The sequence below is a fragment of the Homo sapiens genome, chromosome 5, assembly GCF_000001405.40.
Source record: "Homo sapiens chromosome 5, GRCh38.p14 Primary Assembly".
NCBI classification, from domain to species: domain Eukaryota; kingdom Metazoa; phylum Chordata; class Mammalia; order Primates; family Hominidae; genus Homo; species Homo sapiens.
The window spans coordinates 156,641,486-156,668,203 of record NC_000005.10 but is presented as its reverse complement, the minus strand read 5'-3'; the positions used below and the strand labels follow the sequence as shown (position 1 = coordinate 156,668,203).

General features: G+C 38.7%; 1 protein-coding gene across 9 annotated transcripts in view, besides 1 other annotated feature; it reads right to left on the bottom strand.

Annotated features, from left to right (window-relative positions):
- The window catches only part of SGCD (sarcoglycan delta), a 1,039,957-nt gene that overhangs the window by 99,585 nt on the left and 913,654 nt on the right, over nt 1-26,718 (bottom strand). For 8 of the 9 annotated variants that reach the window (XM_047417519.1, XM_047417518.1, XM_017009724.2 and 5 more), the window contains one exon: nt 20,668-20,740. The exons of the other annotated variant lie outside the window; for it this stretch is intronic. In XM_047417519.1, the coding sequence (XP_047273475.1) occupies nt 20,668-20,740 (73 nt within the window). The remainder of the gene's footprint in view (nt 1-20,667; nt 20,741-26,718) is intronic. 9 annotated transcript variants of the gene reach the window in all.
- Nucleotides 12,018-12,547: an enhancer, noted in NCBI's record as "OCT4-NANOG hESC enhancer chr5:156082668-156083197 (GRCh37/hg19 assembly coordinates)". NCBI's record gives its function as "activates a minimal SCP1, AML or CMV promoter by ChIP-STARR-seq in primed H9 embryonic stem cells {active_cell/tissue: H9 hESC(primed)}" and the evidence as "EXISTENCE:reporter gene assay evidence [ECO:0000049][PMID:30033119]".

Genomic DNA, 26,718 nt, shown 5'->3' with positions numbered 1-26,718 from the left:
AAGAGGATCATATCATGCCTTAGTCTGTGGCTCTTGGACCCTCCTGTTTTCTGGGCAGGTACTACACAACATGCAGTGAGGACAGTTGTGATGAAGTCACTTGGGTTTTGGGCAAAATGAAAAAATAGAGGCAACATAATGACACGTTAATATGTTCACATAGTTCAATGGATCTGATTTATGGAACTGTGTGTTATTCTAAGGTTACGTGAACTCTGTTAGTTGAAATATCCTTTCCTATGTGCATGTTGTTAATAGTAAATGTAAGCACAGTAGTTATTTTGTTCTTAATTGAAAGAGAATTTTTGGTTACCATGATTTGATACAAACTTTGTACTGGTTGATGACATTTTAAGCTCTCAGAATTCCTGTCTGAGTTCTTGAGCCCTGATGAAAGACAGCTGTTTGCCTTTTCCTCCAAAAAACTAATATTTGTTGAGGTTATGTTCAGAACTCGTCCTGTGTTCTAGGCATTAGGACTAGGAGAGCTTAAGAGACTTGCCCAAATTCACAAAGCGGATAGGCATTTAGGCCAAATTCAAACCCAGGGCAGGATGCCTTCAGAGTACAGACTACTGACCAACATGGATGCTGTTCACAATTCTACTTTGTAAGGCCCTTGAATAACTATGCTGTTATTTGGTCCGCTATAGTTTTCTACTTCTCCTGTAATCACTTCAGTATTTGTGCTTATGACCAAATAATTATTAATCCTATAAATGCAAAACAAAGCTAAAAACTTTAAGTACATGGATTGCTGGGGTGTGTGGGGAAAGGGAGAGAAGTAGAGAGGAAGACAATTACAGAACATGTTTGCAAACTGTTCAAAAGGGAGAAAATTTACGGATTTCTTCCACAATGGTATCAGTCATACTGCCCCACATACCAAGTACCTACAGCTAAGAAGCTCAATATACACTCCTCCTTGTGTCTGTCTGTCTCTCTGTCTCTTTGTATGTGTCTTTCTCACTTTCAATATATATGTTTATACAGAATGAGGATCCTTTATCTGAAATAAGGGACCAGAAGTGTTTTGAATTATGGATTTTTCCAGATTTTGAAATACCTGCATTACAGGTTGAGCACCCCAAATCTGAAAATCTGAAATTTGAAATGCTCCAATGAGTATTTCCTTTGAGCTTTATGTCAGTCCTCAAAAAGTTTTCAATTTTAGAGCATTTTGGATTTTGGATTTTTGGATTTGGGACACCCAACCTGCATGGTTTTTTAATTTTAATTTTTATTTATTATTAGTTTTTGAGACAAAGTCACTCTGTCACCCAGGCTGGGGTGCAGTGGCATGATCTCAACTCACTGCTGTGGGGAAAAGCAAGAGAGATCAAATTGTTACTGTGTCTGTGTAGAAAGAAGTAGACATAGGAGACTCCATTTTGTTATGTGCTAAGAAAAATTCTTCTGCCTTGAGATTCTGTTAATCTATGACCTTACCCCCAACCCCGTGCTCTCTGAAACGTGTGCTGTGTCAACTCAGGGTTGAATGGATTAAGGGCGGTGCAGGATGTGCTTTGTTAAACAGATGCTTGAAGGCAGCATGCTCCTTAAGAGTCATCACCACTCCCTAATCTCAAGTACCCAGGGACACAAAAACTGCGGAAGGCCGCAGGGACCTCTGCCTAGGAAAGCCAGGTATTGTCCAAGGTTTCTCCCCATGTGATAGTCTGAAATATGGCCTCGTGGGAAGGGAAAGACCTGACCGTCCCCCAGCCCGACACCTGTAAAGGGTCTGTGCTGAGGAGGATTAGTAAAAGAGGAAGGAATGCCTCTTGCAGTTGAGACAAGAGGAAGGCATCTGTCTCCTGCCTGTCCCTGGGCAATGGAATGTCTCGGTATAAAACCCGATTGTATGCTCCATCTACTGAGATAGGGAAAAACCGCCTTAGGGCTGGAGGTGGGACCTGCGGGCAGCAATACTGCTTTGTAAAGCATTGAGATGTTTATGTGTATGCATATCCAAAAGCACAGCACTTAATCCTTTACATTGTCTATGATGCCAAGACCTTTGTTCACGTGTTTGTCTGCTGACCCTCTCCCTACAATTGTCTTGTGACCCTGACACATCCCCCTCTTTGAGAAACACCCACAGATGATCAATAAATACTAAGGGAACTCAGAGGCTGGCGGGATCCTCCATATGCTGAACGCTGGTTCCCCGGGTCCCCTTATTTCTTTCTCTATACTTTGTCTCTGTGTCTTTTTCTTTTCCAAATCTCTCGTCCCACCTTACGAGAAACACCCACAGGTGTGTAGGGGCAACCCACCCCTACATCTGGTGCCCAACGTGGAGGCTTTTCTCTAGGGTGAAGGTACGCTCGAGCGTGGTCATTGAGGACAAGTCGACGAGAGATCCCGAGTACATCTACAGTCAGCCTTACGGTAAGCTTGCGCGCTCGGAAGAAGCTAGGGTGATAATGGGGCAAACTAAAAGTAAAATTAAAAGTAAATATGCCTCTTATCTCAGCTTTATTAAAATTCTTTTAAAAAGAGGGGGAGTTAAAGTATCTACAAAAAATCTAATCAAGCTATTTCAAATAATAGAACAATTTTGCCCATGGTTTCCAGAACAAGGAACTTTAGATCTAAAAGATTGGAAAAGAATTGGTAAGGAACTAAAACAAGCAGGTAGGAAGGGTAATATCATTCCACTTACAGTATGGAATGATTGGGCCATTATTAAAGCAGCTTTAGAACCATTTCAAACAGAAGAAGATAGCATTTCAGTTTCTGATGCCCCTGGAAGCTGTTTAATAGATTGTAATGAAAACACAAGGAAAAAATCCCAGAAAGAAACCGAAAGTTTACATTGCGAATATGTAGCAGAGCCGGTAATGGCTCAGTCAACGCAAAATGTTGACTATAATCAATTACAGGAGGTGATATATCCTGAAACGTTAAAATTAGAAGGAAAAGGTCCAGAATTAATGGGGCCATCAGAGTCTAAACCACGAGGCACAAGTCCTCTTCCAGCAGGTCAGGTGCCCGTAAGATTACAACCTCAAAAGCAGGTTAAAGAAAATAAGACCCAACCGCCAGTAGCCTATCAATACTGGCCGCCGGCTGAACTTCAGTATCGGCCACCCCCAGAAAGTCAGTATGGATATCCAGGAATGCCCCCAGCACCACAGGGCAGGGCGCCATACCATCAGCCGCCCACTAGGAGACTTAATCCTATGGCACCACCTAGTAGACAGGGTAGTGAATTACATGAAATTATTGATAAATCAAGAAAGGAAGGAGATACTGAGGCATGGCAATTCCCAGTAACGTTAGAACCGATGCCACCTGGAGAAGGAGCCCAAGAGGGAGAGCCTCCCACAGTTGAGGCCAGATACAAGTCTTTTTCGATAAAAATGCTAAAAGATATGAAAGAGGGAGTAAAACAGTATGGACCCAACTCCCCTTATATGAGGACATTATTAGATTCCATTGCTTATGGACATAGACTCATTCCTTATGATTGGGAGATTCTGGCAAAATCGTCTCTCTCACCCTCTCAATTTTTACAATTTAAGACTTGGTGGATTGATGGGGTACAAGAACAGGTCCGAAGAAATAGGGCTGCCAATCCTCCAGTTAACATAGATGCAGATCAACTATTAGGAATAGGTCAAAATTGGAGTACTATTAGTCAACAAGCATTAATGCAAAATGAGGCCATTGAGCAAGTTAGAGCTATCTGCCTTAGAGCCTGGGAAAAAATCCAAGACCCAGGAAGTACCTGCCCCTCATTTAATACAGTAAGACAAGGTTCAAAAGAGCCCTACCCTGATTTTGTGGCAAGGCTCCAAGATGTTGCTCAAAAGTCAATTGCCGATGAAAAAGCCGGTAAGGTCATAGTGGAGTTGATGGCATATGAAAACGCCAATCCTGAGTGTCAATCAGCCATTAAGCCATTAAAAGGAAAGGTTCCTGCAGGATCAGATGTAATCTCAGAATATGTAAAAGCCTGTGATGGAATCGGAGGAGCTATGCATAAAGCTATGCTTATGGCTCAAGCAATAACAGGAGTTGTTTTAGGAGGACAAGTTAGAACATTTGGAGGAAAATGTTATAATTGTGGTCAAATTGGTCACTTAAAAAAGAATTGCCCAGTCTTAAACAAACAGAATATAACTATTCAAGCAACTACAACAGGTAGAGAGCCACCTGACTTATGTCCAAGATGTAAAAAAGGAAAACATTGGGCTAGTCAATGTCGTTCTAAATTTGATAAAAATGGGCAACCATTGTCGGGAAACGAGCAAAGGGGCCAGCCTCAGGCCCCACAACAAACTGGGGCATTCCCAATTCAGCCATTTGTTCCTCAGGGTTTTCAGGGACAACAACCCCTACTGTCCCAAGTGTTTCAGGGAATAAGCCAGTTACCACAATACAACAATTGTCCCTCACCACAAGCGGCAGTGCAGCAGTAGATTTATGTACTATACAAGCAGTCTCTCTGCTTCCAGGGGAGCCCCCACAAAAAATCCCTACAGGGGTATATGGCCCACTGCCTGAGGGGACTGTAGGACTAATCTTGGGAAGATCAAGTCTAAATCTAAAAGGAGTTCAAATTCATACTAGTGTGGTTGATTCAGACTATAAAGGCGAAATTCAATTGGTTATTAGCTCTTCAATTCCTTGGAGTGCCAGTCCAAGAGACAGGATTGCTCAATTATTACTCCTGCCATATATTAAGGGTGGAAATAGTGAAATAAAAAGAATAGGAGGGCTTGTAAGCACTGATCCAACAGGAAAGGCTGCATATTGGGCAAGTCAGGTCTCAGAGAACAGACCTGTGTGTAAGGCCATTATTCAAGGAAAACAGTTTGAAGGGTTGGTAGACACTGGAGCAGATGTCTCTATCATTGCTTTAAATCAGTGGCCAAAAAATTGGCCTAAACAAAAGGCTGTTACAGGACTTGTCGGCATAGGCACAGCCTCAGAAGTGTATCAAAGTATGGAGATTTTACATTGCTTAGGGCCAGATAATCAAGAAAGTACTGTTCAGCCAATGATTACTTCAATTCCTCTTAATCTGTGGGGTCGAGATTTATTACAACAATGGGGTGCGGAAATCACCATGCCCGCTCCATTATATAGCCCCACGAGTCAAAAAATCATGACCAAGATGGGATATATACCAGGAAAGGGACTAGGGAAAAATGAAGATGGCATTAAAGTTCCAGTTGAGGCTAAAATAAATCAAGAAAGAGAAGGAATAGGGTATCCTTTTTAGGGGCGGTCACTGTAGAGCCTCCTAAACCCATACCACTAACTTGGAAAACAGAAAAACCGGTGTGGGTAAATCAGTGGCCGCTACCAAAACAAAAACTGGAGGCTTTACATTTATTAGCAAATGAACAGTTAGAAAAGGGTCACATTGAGCCTTCGTTCTCACCTTGGAATTCTCCTGTGTTTGTAATTCAGAAGAAATCAGGCAAATGGCGTATGTTAACTGACTTAAGGGCTGTAAACGCCGTAATTCAACCCATGGGGCCTCTCCAACCCGGGTTGCCCTCTCCGGCCATGATCCCAAAAGATTGGCCTTTAATTATAATTGATCTAAAGGATTGCTTTTTTACCATCCCTCTGGCAGAGCAGGATTGTGAAAAATTTGCCTTTACTATACCAGCCATAAATAATAAAGAACCAGCCACCAGGTTTCAGTGGAAAGTGTTACCTCAGGGAATGCTTAATAGTCCAACTATTTGTCAGACTTTTGTAGGTCGAGCTCTTCAACCAGTGAGAGAAAAGTTTTCAGACTGTTATATTATTCATTATATTGATGATATTTTATGTGCTGCAGAAACGAAAGATAAATTAATTGACTGTTATACATTTCTGCAAGCAGAGGTTGCCAATGCTGGACTGGCAATAGCATCTGATAAGATCCAAACCTCTACTCCTTTTCATTATTTAGGGATGCAGATAGAAAATAGAAAAATTAAGCCACAAAAAATAGAAATAAGAAAAGACACATTAAAAACACTAAATGATTTTCAAAAATTACTAGGAGATATTAATTGGATTCGGCCAACTCTAGGCATTCCTACTTATGCCATGTCAAATTTGTTCTCTATCTTAAGAGGAGACTCAGACTTAAATAGTCAAAGAATATTAACCCCAGAGGCAACAAAAGAAATTAAATTAGTGGAAGAAAAAATTCAGTCAGCGCAAATAAATAGAATAGATCCCTTAGCCCCACTCCAACTTTTTATTTTTGCCACTGCACATTCTCCAACAGGCATCATTATTCAAAATACTGATCTTGTGGAGTGGTCATTCCTTCCTCACAGTACAGTTAAGACTTTTACATTGTACTTGGATCAAATAGCTACATTAATCGGTCAGACAAGATTACGAATAACAAAATTATGTGGAAATGACCCAGACAAAATAGTTGTCCCTTTAACCAAGGAACAAGTTAGACAAGCCTTTATCAATTCTGGTGCATGGCAGATTGGTCTTGCTAATTTTGTGGGACTTATTGATAATCATTACCCAAAAACAAAGATCTTCCAGTTCTTAAAATTGACTACTTGGATTCTACCTAAAATTACCAGACGTGAACCTTTAGAAAATGCTCTAACAGTATTTACTGATGGTTCCAGCAATGGAAAAGCAGCTTACACAGGGCCGAAAGAACGAGTAATCAAAACTCCATATCAATCGGCTCAAAGAGCAGAGTTGGTTGCAGTCATTACAGTGTTACAAGATTTTGACCAACCTATCAATATTATATCAGATTCTGCATATGTAGTACAGGCTACAAGGGATGTTGAGACAGCTCTAATTAAATATAGCATGGATGATCAGTTAAACCAGCTATTCAATTTATTACAACAAACTGTAAGAAAAAGAAATTTCCCATTTTATATTACTCATATTCGAGCACACACTAATTTACCAGGGCCTTTGACTAAAGCAAATGAACAAGCTGACTTACTGGTATCATCTGCACTCATAAAAGCACAAGAACTTCATGCTTTGACTCATGTAAATGCAGCAGGATTAAAAAACAAATTTGATGTCACATGGAAACAGGCAAAAGATATTGTACAACATTGCACCCAGTGTCAAGTCTTACACCTGCCCACTCAAGAGGCAGGAGTTAATCCCAGAGGTCTGTGTCCTAATGCATTATGGCAAATGGATGTCACGCATGTACCTTCATTTGGAAGATTATCATATGTTCATGTAACAGTTGATACTTATTCACATTTCATATGGGCAACTTGCCAAACAGGAGAAAGTACTTCCCATGTTAAAAAACATTTATTGTCTTGTTTTGCTGTAATGGGAGTTCCAGAAAAAATCAAAACTGACAATGGACCAGGATATTGTAGTAAAGCTTTCCAAAAATTCTTAAGTCAGTGGAAAATTTCACATACAACAGGAATTCCTTATAATTCCCAAGGACAGGCCATAGTTGAAAGAACTAATAGAACACTCAAAACTCAATTAGTTAAACAAAAAGAAGGGGGAGACAGTAAGGAGTGTACCACTCCTCAGATGCAACTTAATCTAGCACTCTATACTTTAAATTTTTTAAACATTTATAGAAATCAGACTACTACTTCTGCAGAACAACATCTTACTGGTAAAAAGAACAGCCCACATGAAGGAAAACTAATTTGGTGGAAAGATAATAAAAATAAGACATGGGAAATAGGGAAGGTGATAACGTGGGGGAGAGGTTTTGCTTGTGTTTCACCAGGAGAAAATCAGCTTCCTGTTTGGTTACCCACTAGACATTTGAAGTTCTACAATGAACCCATCGGAGATGCAAAGAAAAGGGCCTCCACGGAGATGGTAACACCAGTCACATGGATGGATAATCCTATAGAAGTATATGTTAATGATAGTGTATGGGTACCTGGCCCCATAGATGATCGCTGCCCTGCCAAACCTGAGGAAGAAGGGATGATGATAAATATTTCCATTGGGTATCGTTATCCTCCTATTTGCCTAGGGAGAGCACCAGGATGTTTAATGCCTGCAGTCCAAAATTGGTTGGTAGAAGTACCTACTGTCAGTCCCATCAGTAGATTCACTTATCACATGGTAAGCGGGATGTCACTCAGGCCACGGGTAAATTATTTACAAGACTTTTCTTATCAAAGATCATTAAAATTTAGACCTAAAGGGAAACCTTGCCCCAAGGAAATTCCCAAAGAATCAAAAAATACAGAAGTTTTAGTTTGGGAAGAATGTGTGGCCAATAGTGCGGTGATATTATAAAACAATGAATTTGGAACTATTATAGATTGGGCACCTCGAGGTCAATTCTACCACAATTGCTCAGGACAAACTCAGTCGTGTCCAAGTGCACAAGTGAGTCCAGCTGTTGATAGCGACTTAACAGAAAGTTTAGACAAACATAAGCATAAAAAATTGCAGTCTTTCTACCCTTGGGAATGGGGAGAAAAAGGAATCTCTACCCCAAGACCAAAAATAGTAAGTCCTGTTTCTGGTCCTGAACATCCAGAATTATGGAGGCTTACTGTGGCCTCACACCACATTAGAATTTGGTCTGGAAATCAAACTTTAGAAACAAGAGATTGTAAGCCATTTTATACTGTCGACCTAAATTCCAGTCTAACAGTTCCTTTACAAAGTTGCGTAAAGCCCCCTTATATGCTAGTTGTAGGAAATATAGTTATTAAACCAGACTCCCAGACTATAACCTGTGAAAATTGTAGATTGCTTACTTGCATTGATTCAACTTTTAATTGGCAACACCGTATTCTGCTGGTGAGAGCAAGAGAGGGCGTGTGGATCCCTGTGTCCATGGACCGACCGTGGGAGGCCTCACCATCCGTCCATATTTTGACTGAAGTATTAAAAGGTGTTTTAAATAGATCCAAAAGATTCATTTTTACTTTAATTGCAGTGATTATGGGATTAATTGCAGTCACAGCTACGGCTGCTGTAGCAGGAGTTGCATTGCACTCTTCTGTTCAGTCAGTAAACTTTGTTAATGATTGGCAAAAGAATTCTACAAGATTGTGGAATTCACAATCTAGTATTGATCAAAAATTGGCAAATCAAATTAATGATCTTAGACAAACTGTCATTTGGATGGGAGACAGACTCATGAGCTTAGAACATCGTTTCCAGTTACAATGTGACTGGAATACGTCAGATTTTTGTATTACACCCCAAATTTATAATGAGTCTGAGCATCACTGGGACATGGTTAGACGCCATCTACAGGGAAGAGAAGATAATCTCACTTTAGACATTTCCAAATTAAAAGAACAAATTTTCGAAGCATCAAAAGCCCATTTAAATTTGGTGCCAGGAACTGAGGCAATTGCAGGAGTTGCTGATGGCCTCGCAAATCTTAACCCTGTCACTTGGGTTAAGACCATTGGAAGTACTACGATTATAAATCTCATATTAATCCTTGTGTGCCTGTTTTGTCTGTTGTTAGTCTGCAGGTGTACCCAACAGCTCCGAAGAGACAGCGACCATCGAGAACGGGCCATGATGATGATGGCGGTTTTGTCGAAAAGAAAAGGGGGAAATGTGGGGAAAAGCAAGAGAGATCAAATTGTTACTGTGTCTGTGTAGAAAGAAGTAGACATAGGAGACTCCATTTTGTTATGTGCTAAGAAAAATTCTTCTGCCTTGAGATTCTGTTAATCTATGACCTTACCCCAAACCCCGTGCTCTCTGAAACGTGTGCTGTGTCAACTCAGGGTTGAATGGATTAAGGGCGGTGCAGGATGTGCTTTGTTAAACAGATGCTTGAAGGCAGCATGCTCCTTAAGAGTCATCACCACTCCCTAATCTCAAGTACCCAGGGACACAAAAACTGCGGAAGGCCGCAGGGACCTCTGCCTAGGAAAGCCAGGTATTGTCCAAGGTTTCTCCCCATGTGATAGTCTGAAATATGGCCTCGTGGGAAGGGAAAGACCTGACCGTCCCCCAGCCCGACACCTGTAAAGGGTCTGTGCTGAGGAGGATTAGTAAAAGAGGAAGGAATGCCTCTTGCAGTTGAGACAAGAGGAAGGCATCTGTCTCCTGCCTGTCCCTGGGCAATGGAATGTCTCGGTATAAAACCCGATTGTATGCTCCATCTACTGAGATAGGGAAAAACCGCCTTAGGGCTGGAGGTGGGACCTGCGGGCAGCAATACTGCTTTGTAAAGCATTGAGATGTTTATGTGTATGCATATCCAAAAGCACAGCACTTAATCCTTTACATTGTCTATGATGCCAAGACCTTTGTTCACGTGTTTGTCTGCTGACCCTCTCCCCACAATTGTCTTGTGACCCTGACACATCCCCCTCTTTGAGAAACACCCACAGATGATCAATAAATACTAAGGGAACTCAGAGGCTGGCGGGATCCTCCATATGCTGAACGCTGGTTCCCCGGGTCCCCTTATTTCTTTCTCTATACTTTGTCTCTGTGTCTTTTTCTTTTCCAAATCTCTCGTCCCACCTTACGAGAAACACCCACAGGTGTGTAGGGGCAACCCACCCCTACAACTGCAACCTCCGCCTCCTAGTTCAAGTGATTCTCCTGCCTCAGCCTCCCAACTAGCTGGGATTACCGGCATGCACCACCACACCCAGCTAATTTTTGTATTTTTAGTAGAGATGGGGTTTCACCATGGTGGCCAGGCTGATCTGGAACTCCTGAGCTCAGGTGATCCTCCTGCCTCAGCCTCCCAAAGTGCTGGGATCATAGGCATGAGCCACCCCACACCTGGCCTCAACCTGTATGTTTTTAATGAGAACACATGGACACAGGAAGGGGAACATCACACTCCGGGGACTACTGTGGGGTGGGGGGAGGGGGGAGGGATAGCATTAGGAGATATACCTAATGCTAAATGACCAGTTAATGGGTGCAGCACACCAACATGGCACATGTATACATATGTAACAAACCTGCACATTGTGCACATGTACCCTAAAACTTAATGTATAATAATAATAAAATAAAATAAAAGAGAGAGGAAAAAAAAAAAGTCAGACTATTTATCCAATATTTTGGTACTGTAACTGTCAGTGGTGTGCGGAGAATTACCAAGCCTCTAATTAATTCACCCCTAAGGCTCTAATAGACTGTTTTGATAGTTTAAATTTATAAATCACAGAAAGCCTATAAATATTTAGTTGGTTATAGACATCCTAACATAAAATTAAAGAAATAAATTCATTTTTGTCAACTTGTGCAAGCCTTGTCTAATCCTTGTTTCCCAATGATACACACAGACTTTAAATCTCACACATTCCCAAAGGAGTTCAGATTTACTATGTTTCTATTAAAACAAAACAAAACAACAACAACAAAAAGAAACCCTACAGGATGTTCAAGTGCATAATAGTGGGAGTAATAGATGTATCGTAGAATCTTTCTGCTTTGTCATTAAAACCTGGTAGCATTATGGGGAAAAATAAACAGTAACAGAGTAATACCTTATTTATTTCAAGCTCTTTTCAATAGATTTGAGATTAGTGAAATTTTTAGTTCTAAATTAAGTAGTGCACTGATTTTTAAAATTTGTAACAATCTTTAAAGTTTCCTGCAACCATATCTGAAATTGCCATCATACAATTTTTTAAAGAATACAATTGTTATGAGGAAAATTACATTACAAAAATCAATTTTTGTAAATACCCAGTAACATTTTGAGGAGTTACAGAAATATGTTGGGCTGTTTGCTCCCATGCTAAATGGCCCCAGAGAACCATTCCTTTTGAATTATAAGACCTATTTGTTGGTTTTTACCTTTTCTCTCTTCTCTCTTCTTTCAATCAAAACGCCATCTCCTTTGGGCAACTTTACCTAAACGCTTCTAAGTAGATTTTGTAATTCTCCATTATTCTCTGGCTTGGTTCATATCTCCATATTAATTATCACACGGTATTGTATTGGGCGGTGACATTTCTGTTGTATTCCCTTTAACTATCAATTATTTGAGTTTTCATTTTATCTCTGCATTCCAAGTGGGTTTTTAAAAATTACTTTATTTAAATAATTTTATGTAACGTAAGAGCACATCAGCATATTAGCTGACTGTGAACATGAAGAATTCTTTTATAAAGACATTTTGACTTGATATTTCATGGTTCCCTCCAAGCTTTGGGTAGTCTATATAACTTTCTCTCTTTTTTAACATTTGCCGTGGCATGTACCTGAGAAAGAAGATTTTACCGTCTACTTCCTATTCTCGTAGGATCAGAATCCTACAAGGAAACTTTACAGTTGAAAGGAATCTTTAGAGCAAGGAAGGCATTCAAAGGAAGCCTCTGTTCCTATGGAAAATACATATGCAAAACTGAATGGCCTATTTCCTGTTTCAGATCATGAACAGCCTGAGATCAGTGATTTTTCCATTTGTCTTTATATAGACTTCAGGAGGGAAAAAAAAACAGTGAATAAGTGAACATTTAAGATATTCATAGTTTAAGATCATGAATTTATTAAAATACGATTTCAATTCAAGATGAATTTTTCTTATTTCAAGGGATGGTTACAGTGCCTGGTATAATTTCAAGTATAGTCTGGAATCCAGAACAAAGTATCTTTACTTCAGAATTACCTTGCAAGAATAAAGTCAATAAACATTACTTGAGATGGATATTTGGCATAGACCTTTGTAACACTCATTATTTGTCTGGAGAAAAGCATTTTGTTTTTTTGAAAATTTGAGCTCAACTCTGGATTATTTACAAGCATCTTAACCAAAGACTGCAAATACAGTAAATATAGTAACTCTGAAAACAAACCAAAAAAAGGCAATGAACCAAAACTGTAGCAAAGAGGAAGCTACCTCTCCTTTAACTGACATCTTCTAGGAAGAAATGCCAGAGGCCTTAAATCTGGTTTTCGTTAACAAACAAGCAAACAACAACAAAATAAGAACAAACAGAAAACCTCTAGCAGCCAAGACAGAGGTTTGAGGAAAACAAATGTTACTCAATGGAGAAGCGTTTTGAAATAGATGTAATTTTCTCATGTTTGATTAGGTAAGGAACATGTATATTTAAGTTTCTGCTTGTCTATTTTAAAAGACAGTCTGTGTCTAAATAAGTTGTGGTCTTTTGAATCCATTTGTTTTCCATTATTGACAAGTAAGACCAAGAAAATCTGGGTATAGAATATTAAAGAAAAAAAACCCTCAAAAATAACATTCCAACTTAACTGCAGTGAGAATTTTAAAGATCTATAAATTCACCTCTTAACAAATAGCTTTTCTGTTAAAGTCCTTTTTACATATTTTTAAATCTATAAGTTATTCAGGTGATTTCATTCCTTGAAATAAATCTCATGTAAAGCATGATATTACAGGACTACAATGTTAATTTCTTAGTTGTGGTAACTATACCACAGATATGTAAGATGTTAACTTTGGAGAAAATTAGGTGAAGGCAGATGAGAATTATCTGTATAAATTTTATAACTCTTTTTTAACTTTAAAATTATTTTGAAACCAAGAGTCAAAATAATATAACAGGATTAGCTGTTTAGAGCTAGAAGTGCCCTGCCTTTTCACAGACAGCAGGGCTCCACAATTAGCTCAAGGCCACATAGGGATATTAGGACTCAGAAACTAATACCTCAAAATATGACACCCTGGCTTGCTATTTTAAATTTAAGGCCTTTGGAGACCAGCAGAGAGTCTGGAAGAAGCTATTTTCTGAAGTTCCCTTATCTGCCTAAAGTTTGGACCCCCCCAAAGGAAAGAAAAAAACAATTACCATTGGTTCCTTCCCTGAGTTTTTATTAATGACTCATACTGAAGGAAGAAAGACCTAAGTATGGCAACACACCTGGACCAATTTCTGTCACAAACCACTGTTTTCTGTTTCAGTCCCATTCAGTATTCCAAAGAGAATCATTTGGCAGACATTATCTGCTCTGCAGGCCCAACAAACTTTCTCCCAGACCATTCTATGTTCCCCAGGTCCATTTATTTTGCCCTAAAATCATTTACTACTCCACAAGTGCTACATTTTCCTCATCTCCCCTCCCCTGTGAAGAAAGGCATATAAGCATCTGTACCTCATTGGGTTATTGGGTAATTGTTCTCCTATAATCCCCTTGTGCTATACATATTAAAGTAAAATTTTTATTATGCCTTTTCTGCCATCAATCTGCCTGCTGTCAGTTGATTTTTAGTGAATCTGCAGATAGTGAAAGGGAAGCTTTCCCTTGGCCCCTACAGTGGGTTGGCATTAGGCGCCCAACTCTTAGCACAGTGCTCTTTTCCCTCCATTTTGCTACCACTGAAGAATGGACCACTTTTGCTTCACCTCAAGAGTCTGTCTAGCTCTGTTTGCTAGTACAAGTCCAGGAACCTCACTTAAATTACTCTATTTTCTTAAATCTAGAAGACATAGCAGTGTGAATGTGGCCAAGTAAGACTGGCCCAGTGCTAAAGTCAGAGACCAGAAGAGTCAGTCACCAAGTTCATTAACAATTTACACAATATCCAAGGTCAATAGCAATCAATAGCATGGAGTAATATGTGGCACCATGAAATGACAAATATAAAACATTCACAGACACACTGGTCTGGGCTAATCTATCAATAATTGGTCATCTTTTCAATTGGTCAGAGATACTCCTATAAAACACCATTTTAAAAAATTTCAAAAGGATGAAGGAGGTAGATTATGACATTCTAGGTCCCTGACTCAGTCCGGGCTACCACAGTTTGAACAACAGGGGCAAAAAAAAAAAAAAAGCAAGCTTTAGAATTACGTAAGAAAATATTTTTATGTTTTCATGACAAAGGTGACATTACAAGCTACCCCACAGAAATACAAAAGATCCTCAAAGACTATTATGAACACCTCTATGCACACAAACTAGGAAATCTAGAGGAAATGGATAAATTCATGGAAATACACAACCTCCCAAGGTTGAATCAGGAAGAAGTTGAAACCCCGAAAAGAATGAATATCAAGTTCTGAAACTGAATCAGTAATAAAAACCTATTAACAAAAAAAGCCCCAGGCCAGATGGATTCACAGCCAAATTCTACCAGATGTACAAAGAAGAGCTGTTACCAATTCTACTGAAATTATTCCAAAAAACCGAGGAGGAAGGACTCCTCCTTAATTTGTTCTAGGAAGCCAGCATCACCCGAATATCAAAACCTCACAAAGACAAAACAAAAAAGAAATCTGCAGGTTAATATCCCTGATGAACACACATGCAAAAATCCTCAAAAAAATACTAGCAGACAAAATCCCACAGCACATCAAAAAGTTAATTTACCATGATTAAATAGCCTTTATTCCTGGGATGCAAGGATAGTTCAACATATGCAAATCAATAAATGTGATCCATCGTATAAACAGAATGAAAAACAAAAACCATATGATCATCTCAAGAGATATAGAAAAAGCATTCAATAAAATCCAACATCCCTGTATGAGAAAAACCCTCAAAAAAAACCCAAAAAACTAGGCATCAAAAGAACATACCCCCCAAATATAAGAGCCATCTGTGACAAACACACAGCCAACATCATACTGAATGGGCAAAAGCTGGAAACATTCCCCTCAAGAAGTGGAATGAGGCAAGGATGCCTACTTTTATCACTTCTATTCAACACAGTACTGAAGTCTTTGCCGCAGCAATCAGGCAAGAGAAATAAATAAAAAGAAAAGAAGTCAAATTATCTCTCTTGGTTAACAATATGATTCTGTGTATGTGTGTGTGTATGTGTGTATATGAGAGAGAGAAAGATAGGGTCCTGCTCTGCCACCAGGCTAGAGAGCAGTGGTGTGATCACAGCTAACTGCAACCTCAAATTCCTGGGCTCAAGCCATCCTCATGCCTTAGCATCCCAAGCAGCTGGGACTGTAGACATGCATCACTACCACATCTGGCTATTAACTTTTTTTTTCTTTTGGTAGAGACAGGGTTTCACTATGTTGTCCAGGCTTGTCTCAGACTCCTGGGCTCAAGTGATCCTCCAGCCTTGGCCTCCCAAAACATTGGGATTACAGGTGTAAGCCACCACACCCAGTCCAACAATATGATTCTATAGCTAGAAAACCCTAAAGACTCTACCAAAAGGCTCCTAGGACTGAAATGACTTCAATAAAGATAAATAAAATCATTGTACAAAAATCAATAGCATTTCTATACACGAGTAATATTCATGCTGAGAGCCAAATCAAGAAAGCAACCCCACACAAAAAATAAAATAACTAGGAATACATCTAACCAAGGAAGAAGAAGATCTCTACAAGGAGAACTATAAAACACAACTGAAACAAATCATAGTTGACACAACAAATGGGAAAACATTCCATGCTCATGGAATCAATCAATGAAAGAATCAATATTGTTAAAATGGTCTTACTGCCCAATGTAATCTAAAAACTACCAATGTTATTTTTTCACAGAATTAGAAAAAAAAAATTCTAAAATTCATATGGAACCAAAAAAGAGCCCAAAGCAATCCTAAGCAAAAAGAAAAACTCCAGAGCTATCACATTACTCAGCTTCAAAGTGTACTTTAAGGCTACAGTAACTAAAACAGCATGGGATTCATAGAGAAATAGACATGTAGACCAATGGAACAGAATAGAGAAACCAGAAATAGTCTCATACCTATAGCTATTTAATCTTTGACAAAGTCAACAAAAATAAGCATGTGGAAAGGATTCCCTATTCAATAAATGGTGCTGGGATATCTGGCTAATCACATGCAGAAGAATAAAACTGGACTCCTACCTTTCCCTATATTTAAGAATTAACTAAAGATGGATTAAATATTTAAATAGAAGACCTCAAACTATAAGAATTCTAGATGAAAACCTCAGAAATACTATTCTGGACATAGGCCTTGGGAAAGAGTTTATGACTAAGTCCTCAAAAGCAATTGCATCAAAACCAAAATTGACAAGAGGGACCTCCTTAAACTAAAGAGGTTCTGCACAGCAAAAGAAACTATCAACAGGATAAACAGTCTACAAAATGGAAGAAAATATTATCAAACTATGCACCCAACAAAGGTCTAATATCTGACAAAGATATGTTATCTATAAGGAACTTAATTCAACAAGCAAAAAACAACCCCATTAAAAAGTGGGCAAAAGAAATAAAAGGACACTTCTCAAAAGAAGGCATACACATGGCCAAAAAACATGAAAAATGCTGCACACCACAAATCAAAATCACAATGAGATACTATCTCACATCAGTCAGAATGACTATTATTAAAAAGTCAAGAAACAACAGATGTTGGTGAGACTGTGGAGTAAAGGAACACTTATACACCGCTGGTGGGAATGTAAATTAGTTCAGCCATTATTTGGAGATGTCTCAAAGAACTGACAACGCAATTACTAACTGACCGAGCAATCCCATTACTGGGTATATACCCAAAGGGAAATAAATTGTTCTATCAAAATGACATAGGCACTTGTATATTCATTGCAATATACAACACTAAGACACAAAAATCAACCTAGGTATCTGTCAATGATGGATTGGAGAAAGAAAATGTGGTACATATATACCATAGAACACTACAAAGCCATAAAAAACTAACAAAATCATGTCCTCTGCAGCAACATGAATATAACTGAAGGCCATTATCTTAAGTTAACACAGGAACAGAAAACCAAATACTGCACATTTTCACTAATAAGTGGGAGCTGAGCACTGGATACACATGAATATGAAGATGGGAACAAAAGACACTGAGGGACTAGTAGATGAGGAGAGAGAAAAGACAAAGGGCTGAAAAACTACCTATTGGGTATTACTCTTACTACCTGGGTGACGGATCATTCGTACTCCAAACCTCAGCATCATGCAACATACTCATGTAACAAACCTGCGTGTGTATCCCTGAATCTAAAATGAAAGTTGAAATTATTAAAAAAAATTCATGCTTTCTAGCCTCTGTGGGACATACCTATAACTTTTGAAGAAGCACAGTAAATAAACCAACTACACAAAGTATTTATTTATTTTGTTGCACTGGACTTAGGAGATTTACTTGTAAATTGTGGAGGTTTAACTTTTTAAAGGTAAGTTTCAGGGTTGTTTATAAGTTGTGTAACAAACACTACGATTATGTCTCAGCATAACATGTGCAAATACTCTGCTCCATGTTCTTCAGGCTATGCATCTCTAGAGTGGGCTAATGCTTGGAGAGTTGTCTTTTTGTTTCATTGGTTTGGGTTGGGTTTGTTTTTAAGTACAGAAGATTTACTTTACCGCTTAAAGCCAAGACAGCCTATCTCCTTTCCTCTTATATTTCCCAAATCTCCCAGGTAATGAAAAGCTTTGTTCCATAGAAAAAATATCTGTACTGTATTTAGAGTCCTGCTTTTTAAAAAAAAAATTATTATTATACTTCAAATTTTAGGGTACATGTGCACAACGTGCAGGTTTGTTACATATGTATACATGTGCCATGTTGGTGTGCTGCACCCATTAACTCGTCATTTAACATTAGGTATATCTCCTAATGCTATCCCTCCCCTCTCCCCCCACCCCACAACAGGCCCCCGTGTGTGATGTTCCCCTTCCTGTGTCCATGTGATCTCATTGTTCAATTCCCACCTATGAGTGAGAACATGCGGTGTTTGGTTTTTTGACCTTGTGATAGTTTGCTGAGAATGATGGTTTCCAGTTTCATCCATGTCCCTACAAAGGACATGAACTCATCATTTTTTATGGCTGCATAGTATTCCATGGTGTATATGTACCACATTTTCTTAATCCAGTCTATCATTGTTGGACATTTGGCTTGGTTCCAAGTCTTTGCTATTATGAATAGTGCTGCAATAAATATATGTGTGCATGTGTCTTTATAGCAGCATGATTTATAATCCTTTGGGTATATACCCAGTAATGGGATGGCTGGGTCAAATGGTATTTCCAGTTCTAGATCCCTGAGGAATCGCCACACTGACTTCCACAATGGTTGAAATAGCTTACAATCCCACCAACACTGTAAAAGTGTTCCTATTTCTCCACATCCTCTCCAGCATCTGTTGTTCCCTGACTTTTTAATGATCGCCACTCTAACTGGTGTGAGATGGTATCTCATTGTGGTTTTGATTTGCATTTCTCTGATGGCCAGTGATGATGAGCACTTTTTCATGTGTCTTCTGGCTGCATAAATGTCTTCTTTTGAGAATTATCTGTTCATATCCTTCGCCCATTTGTTGATGGGAGTCCTGCTTCTTTTAGACAGCACTTTTTCTTGGGGCTAATCATCACTAATTACTGACTAGTTCTGTAAGAAACGTGCTTCTACAGAGGACTGTGAAAAGAATGGGAACCAGGCCACTGATTAGCTTGTCTCAAAAGACCTCTTCCATCACAGACACGAAGGTTCACTGCACTCTCAGGCAATAACTCTTTCTCATAGAGTCCTAAAAAGCAGGTTTTCTCAGACGTATTTGCTTAAAAGATTCTAGCTTCAGTACCTTATATGAAACATAGGAACTAGCTAACAGAAAATCAGGTAAGTTCAGGCATGTGGAAGCTCTGCTGAAGATAGTTATGCTAGTAAAAAGTAGAACCTTGTGGTGTGATGTGTAATCTTAAAAATACAGCCCACTCTATGTGGGATTTTGTTATGAAAAGATTCTCATTCTCCACCAACTATCCTCTTCCTTTGGCCCAATTTATTTCCTTACAGCCATCCAGACTTATAGGCTTTGCAAAAAATGCTATGGGTTTTATAATGAGGTGATACATTTTCCACTTACTGAGAATGTGCTTCTGTTAAAAGAAACACTAGGTCCAATATGGCTCTTGCTTTTTAAGCAAAGCATAGATCTTCAGATTGCATCAGGAAAGAGTAGATATGATTTGTGCAATGCAAGTACATGTGCCTATGGTTGGTGTCTATCATGAAACAGTTATTCAGTGCCATATATGGCGATTTATGATTGCTTTTAGGTAAAAGAACTACCAGAAATGAAAAAAAAAAGCCAGTATTCACTGAATTCATCACAGTTATGATGAATAACTTGAAGCAATAGAAAGAATAGTTCTATTTGTTTCAACGTACCATTTTAAATACATTTTGGCGGGAGGGACAGGGGCATGGTTGTTTGGTGGCTGGAATGGTTTTCAGGCTCTCTGTCTGTTTATCCATCTGTCTGTTCTTTTGTGTTTTCCTTAGTTGCTGGTGGTGAGTACATAGCATCTCAGAGTCATCCTCTGCTAAGGCAGCACATTTATGAATATTTGAAGATTAACATCAGCACCTGGAACATCTGCAGAAGGGGGTTCTTTCTAGTACCATACCACCCCAAGTAATAGAGAGCTTGTTGCATAATAAGACATCGTATTGTATTTAGACTTCATCTTCTTTTAGATATCATTTTTCTTTGGGCTGATCAGCACCAATTACCAACTAGTTCTCTAACTGGATAGGTTTTGGGTACCACAAAATACAGCACATAACAAACATTCCAAATGAATGAATCTAGATTTCACAAAGTGGGCAACCTTTTACCCCATCCAGATCCTCAATTTTAAGTTCTCATAGAAAATTTTCTTTTGGTTGTAGCTTATCTTCTGGTTCTCTCCAACCTCTTTCAATTTATGTATTCACGCTGTGACACTTATTATTTATTCAGAATGAATCACTGGCCAGTTGCACAGAGCAAGGCAATAGCCATTAATCAATGCAAACCAAAGTCAGAAGTTTACCTTAGTTCTTTGAAGGGGTCTGCCCTGACATTAGGTGTTTCTATAGATTTAGGGAACACTGTGCCCTCCGCTCCTGTAAACAAAACAGAAAAGCAAACAGAGATTGGAGATACTGGAGTCACCTGTAGGCACAATCAGCACACTGATTGGAGCTAAATGCAGCGAATCCATTACACAACCCCATACCCACATATTTTTCCACTGGCTTTAGAGCTCCATGATAGGAAAGCATTGAATCACTCATGCAAACAGCCTTTGAAAAACAAGGAACTTCTTTTGAAAGCATTCTTGCTGAGATCAGAGTGAGGCCATGAGGCAAATTCCATCTCGGCTTCAGAAAGGAAAAGATGCCTAGAAATGGTAAGGTCTGACTCTTGTCTCTCAGAAACTATTAATAGTCACCCAACCGGAAATGTTTTGAAAAACAGCAACCAAAGCTCTCTTATTGCAATGCATGGCACAAATCACATAACACATATGACATCTACGCAGTGGGTTAGATGGTAGAACAGTGAAGTATTTGCCTAATGACTAGCAAAAGTTTTTCAGTAAATAAAGTTCTACATTATTATCTTGAAAAGTTAAGCAAAATAGAACACTATAAGAGATCATTTGAAGTTCAGAGCTTTTACACTTTGAGTATTAACATTGATCCCAAACCCAATCTAGACATTTAGCTCTTGACTGTGCTATAAGCTTTTATCTTTACAACTTGTCAACACCAGTCGAAATTTGCAGCCATAAAGATAGCAATTATCTGATTTGTCTGCTCCCAAAGTGTTTTCAAATCATTTAAGCCTCAGTTTTTCACAGACAATTGCACAAGATATTAGTTTTTCAATTAAACTTAGCTGAGGCAGTATCCTGTACTTTGAAGTAAAGGTGTTTCTTTTTTATACATTTGGTGCACTTTGATGCTGTAAGGAGGGGAGAATATCTTACTTCCATGTGTGAATTTTTGTAATCCTCTTACATTGTTATAACATCTAGAAATGCTCCATTATATTCAACAAAGAACATGCTTTTGAATGGTGTGGTGTTCTGTCATCCAGATCTTAAGCTCTGTGTAGGCAGGGACAAGGTCTTATATGGGATATAGCCAGGTTGACTTTAGGTTCCGAAGGCTTCTACTAGACTCATTTCCAAATGGTACTGATGCTTCTATGGGAGTATTAAATTATTGCTTTCTCAATGCCAGGCTAAGCTGGTGCCCACTGAATGGCAAGCCAGCAAAATCTAGGGAGATAGGTTCTGACAGGCAGCGGTGGCAAATGATTGACAGGCTTTGGATGTAGAAAGGAAGTGAAGAACAAGATGCTCATGCTCCCTCAACTCCCACTCACTCAGCTCCCATTGTCCAACCAAATACCCTTTGATTATGTTCTTGCTGGGCTTTGGCCAGTGGGGGTCCATATGTTCCACATACTGGAGGACAAACTCATTGATAAGACTTCTTAGGGGAAGATTTCAAAGCCACTCATTAGCTGAGTGACCTTGGGCATGAAGTTCAACTTCTGTGATATTCAGTTTCCCTCTCTCAAAAGAAAGTGTGTTGATAGTACCTTTATCTCCCAGGAATCTTGGAAGGCTGAATGAGATCTCTGGCACAAAGCAACCAGCAGTAATATTATATAATGTTTATGATTCTTATTCATCCTTCTTATCCAGATCTTCCATGACTTTTTCAAAAATAACATTTTTAAAGCATTTTCTATGAACTAGAAACAGTACTGGATATTCTAGTTTTTCATTTGATCACCAGAATAACCCTATGAAGTGGAGACTATTAGTATCTTTGAGGCTCAGGGAAGTCAGGAAATTTTTCCTATGGTCACACAACTAGGTGGAAGTGGGAGGGGTGACTGAGTAAGGGGTCGGAGGGGTGGGATTTGAACTCTAATCTTTCTGTTCTAAAACTGATGCCTTTGATCACTCCTCTAGACTATCTCCCTTAGCAGATTAAGTCCCTCCTTTACATGCTCATCTTTTTATGAGCTATGAGCAAATATCAATGTTTATACCATCAAGTAATGCTTGCTAAATCCTCAATCACCTTTCTTCTCAAAACAATTCACATCTATAATGAGATGAGATATTAATACTCTTCAAAAAGGCCATTTCTTTCCAAGTGCTATCAGGTTTCTGATTTTCACACCATTGTTTACTTTCCCAGAAGCTCCAGAGTAGACAAACATCCTTCAGGATGAATTTCCCCATCCCATCCTCTCTCTGTTTTCTCAGATAATGAATTATTCTCAATTTTATTATTTCAAAAAGGTTTCTATTAAAACCATACCTACTGATTCCCTCTTTTGACACAATATAATTTACTGGCAATAAATGTTCATAAACAGTTTGAGTGAAAAATCCATAAAGCCATTTCAGCTTTATTTTAAGTTCAATTTAATGTCTCTCAAAAATGATTTCATCAATGTGTTTCCATTAGCTGGTTCTCTGCCCAATAACTTAATTCCATAGAATCAATCAGGAACTTATAAAGCATGTGACAGGATCTATCTAAAGTGTTCTGAATCACCATAAAGATGAGCTCAAGGGCTCTTTTCCCTCCTAGCACAGGTAGGGAGTAAACTTGTAAAAAAAAAAAAAAAATCTCAAATGCACTCCACTGCCATAAGTAATAAAAAACCAGCTTCTCCTCTCCAGAAAGGATATTCAAGTCCAGATCTCAGTTTTGTCATACTTTTGACTCAAAGTGTCCCAGATGTCAAGAGACCTGAAATCTAGTCCTATCTCTATGCTCTTAGGCAAGTCAGATAAAAATCTCTGGTTTTGGATTTCCCCAATTATTAAATGAGGGATAAGCATCAGAGTTAAACTGTTAACCCCAAATCTAAAATTTTATGAGGTGTACAATCTTATCTAAGCAGATAACTGCCTTTAGCAACCTCTTTTTTCTAATGAGAAGAAAAAATAATCCTGTACTATGAAAGGAAATTGCGAAACATTTTCTCAGTGTTTAAGGAAAAAAAAAAAGGAACAGACTTTTATCCAATTTAAACTGCATTTAATAGGTAGAAATAATAACCAGAAAATAAATCTCGTAATAGATAAAATGGCAGAGAGCAAAAATGAAACTTAACTAAAACATCAAAGCCCTAAAAACGCGTAATTCTTTAAAACTCCAAAGACTGACCTGAGAAAATTAAATTTTATGAAAAATGACTAATTACCTAAAACTATATACATGTTAAAATTGCTGTGGACTAAATACTGAAAGAAAAATACAGATTTGCAAAATGTGACACACAAAAATTGGATTTGGGAGAAACACTAGACACAAAAATTACTAGGACAGCAAATAGCATCCGTGAAATTTGATAAAGAAAATTTATGATGAATCACTTCTTGTACATGAAGAACTGATCTCAAAAGTAAGAATTTCAAGAAGCGTTCTTTTAAAAATCAGAAATTACTTAAGTGTACTCTTTAGAAAATTGTTTAAGAATTTAAACTAGCTTAACAGAGTTTGCTTTGGTAAATTTTTTCCTGATGAACATGATTAATATTGATATAATTATGATTAGTGCTTTTGTATTAATGAATATGAACTAAAAATCATCGTTGGGTTTAAACCTTGGGGCAAAATGTTCAATAGATTCAAAAGGCAGAGTTAAAATATCTGATGAATAAGGTTTGAGGTAAAAACGTCAGTTTTCTACTTCACATTGCTTGGGTATATATAACCTGAATGATAACTTTAATAACAATGATATTTTACTTGACAAGATAAGGATATAGTTTTATACCCATATTAGATTATAAAATGGAGAAAGGAAGTCAATCTAGAGAATGGTGATAAGAAAATGGAAGAAAAATAATTTTGTTTCTTGAAACACCCAAATACTGAGAAACCAAAAACCTGATTTTCGGTTCTAATTTTGCAGATGCATTGCATGGCCTTTGACAATTTTCCCTTTAGTATTATTTCTCCATTTGGGTGGATTACATAATCTTTAAGGTTTCTTCCGCTCCTGTTATTTTATTATTTTCTAGATATAACTGATCAGATAAACTCTGTGTACCAGAAGAGGAGCACAGTATGTTGGTGAACCCAAAGTTCAATTAACTTAATAAATCTGTATCAAGCAGGAGGCTGTAGTGGTGAAGCAAAGAGGTAAGAAGCTCACGGTATAATATAGTATCCTCCACTAGTGTACACTAATTGGTTTAAACAACTAGTAATTGGCTGGGCGAGGTGGCTCACACCTGTAATCCCAGCATTTTGGAAGGCCAAGGTGGGCGGATCACCTGAGGTCAGGAGTTCGAAACCAGCCTGACCAACATGGAGAAATCCCATCTCTACTGAAAATACAAAATTAGCCGGGCGTGGTGGTGCATTCCTGTAATCCCAGCTACTCGGGAGGCTGAGGCAGGAGAATCCCTTGAACTCGGGAGGTGGAGGTTGCAGTGAGCCAAGATCACACCTTTGCACTCCAGCCTGGGCAACAAGGGTGAAACTCCGTTTCAAAAAAAAACAAACAAAAAAAAAAACAAAAAACCCCCCAAAAAACCTAGTAATTAATCTCAGAAATGAAAATATATAGTAGTGATAAAGAAAAGAAACATGTCTTTGAAAGTATAAAACTTGAAGTCACAACCTGGTTTGGCAGATAAGTTTCCTAAAGAAGTGAAGTTTTGCTGATATTTGAAAAATAATTAGAACTGAAGTAGTCAAGAGCTGAATGTAGCAGTAGAAAAGACTATGGAAACGCTTCACAGTTGGGAAATTCCCATTAATAAAGAAGACTGGGCCAGGCGCAGTGGCTCACACCTGTAATCCCATTACTTTGGGAGGCTGAGGCAGGCGGATCATGACGTCAGGAGTTTGAGACCACCCTGGCCAACATGATGAAACCTTGTCGCTACTAAAAATACAAAAATTAGCCAGGTGTGGTGGCATGAGCCTGTAATCTCAACTACTTGGGAGGCTGAGGCAGGAGAATTGCTTGAACCCGGGAGTTGGAATTGCAGGGAGTCGAGATCCCATCACTGCCCTCTAGCCTGGGAGACAGAACAAGACTCCGTCTTGGAAAAAAAAAAAAAAAAAAAAAAAAGACTGATGCTGCTAGGCCATTCTTAGCAAAAGATGAATATCATGTGGTGAGACTAGAGAGAAAGTTTGGCTCAGGGATTGCAGAGCCTCAGAGGCCACAGTGAAGGTTTTAAGCAGGGGATCTGACTTGATCAACCTGGCATTTTCCAAAGATCACTGTAGCTGCATGTTATGGATTACTTGTTTGTGTCCCCCCAAAATTCAGATGTTGAAACCCTAGCCATCAATGTGATGGTATTAGGAGGTGGGGCGTTTGGGAAATAATTAGGTTTAGATGAGGTCATCAGGGTAGAGTGCCCATGATGGGATTAGCATCCTCAGAAGAAGAGAAAAAGACTAGTGCTCTTTCTCCACCATGTGAAGATACAGTAAGATGATGGATGTCTGCAAGCCAACATGAAGGACCCCACCAAACCTGACCATGCTGACACCCTGATCTCAGACTCCCCAGCCTCCAGAACTGTAAAAAATAAATTTCTGTTTTTTAAGGCATCCAGTCTGTAGTATCTGCTATAGCAGCCCAGAATGACTGAGACATTATGTCATGGAAAAGACACTTAAGGAAGGCAAGGGTGAATAAAGAGAAGCCAGGAGAGAGATGGTGGTAGATGGGATCATATGATTGGTAGTAAGCATAGAGAAGAGTGGATGGCTGAGGAAATATTTAAGAGAAAAACTAATGGGATCTGGTGATGTGCTGGACAAGCAGACTGAAGGATGATCACAGGGCCCACGGGAGGAGATGAAATAGACAGTCAAAGCCAAGTGATTAATGCTCAAAGCCAGCCATGCCCATTAAAACTTTATACTCCACAAATAATATCCAGCTTTTTTAGTATTTGATATTTAAGTCACAATAGAAATTGCCTTTACTTAATAAAGGAAGCTGCTCTGAATCCAACTATATTTTTCTTAGGAAGGAGCAAGAACCATGACAATGAAAGTTTAATCTCCCATGATATTTACCAGGAATATTT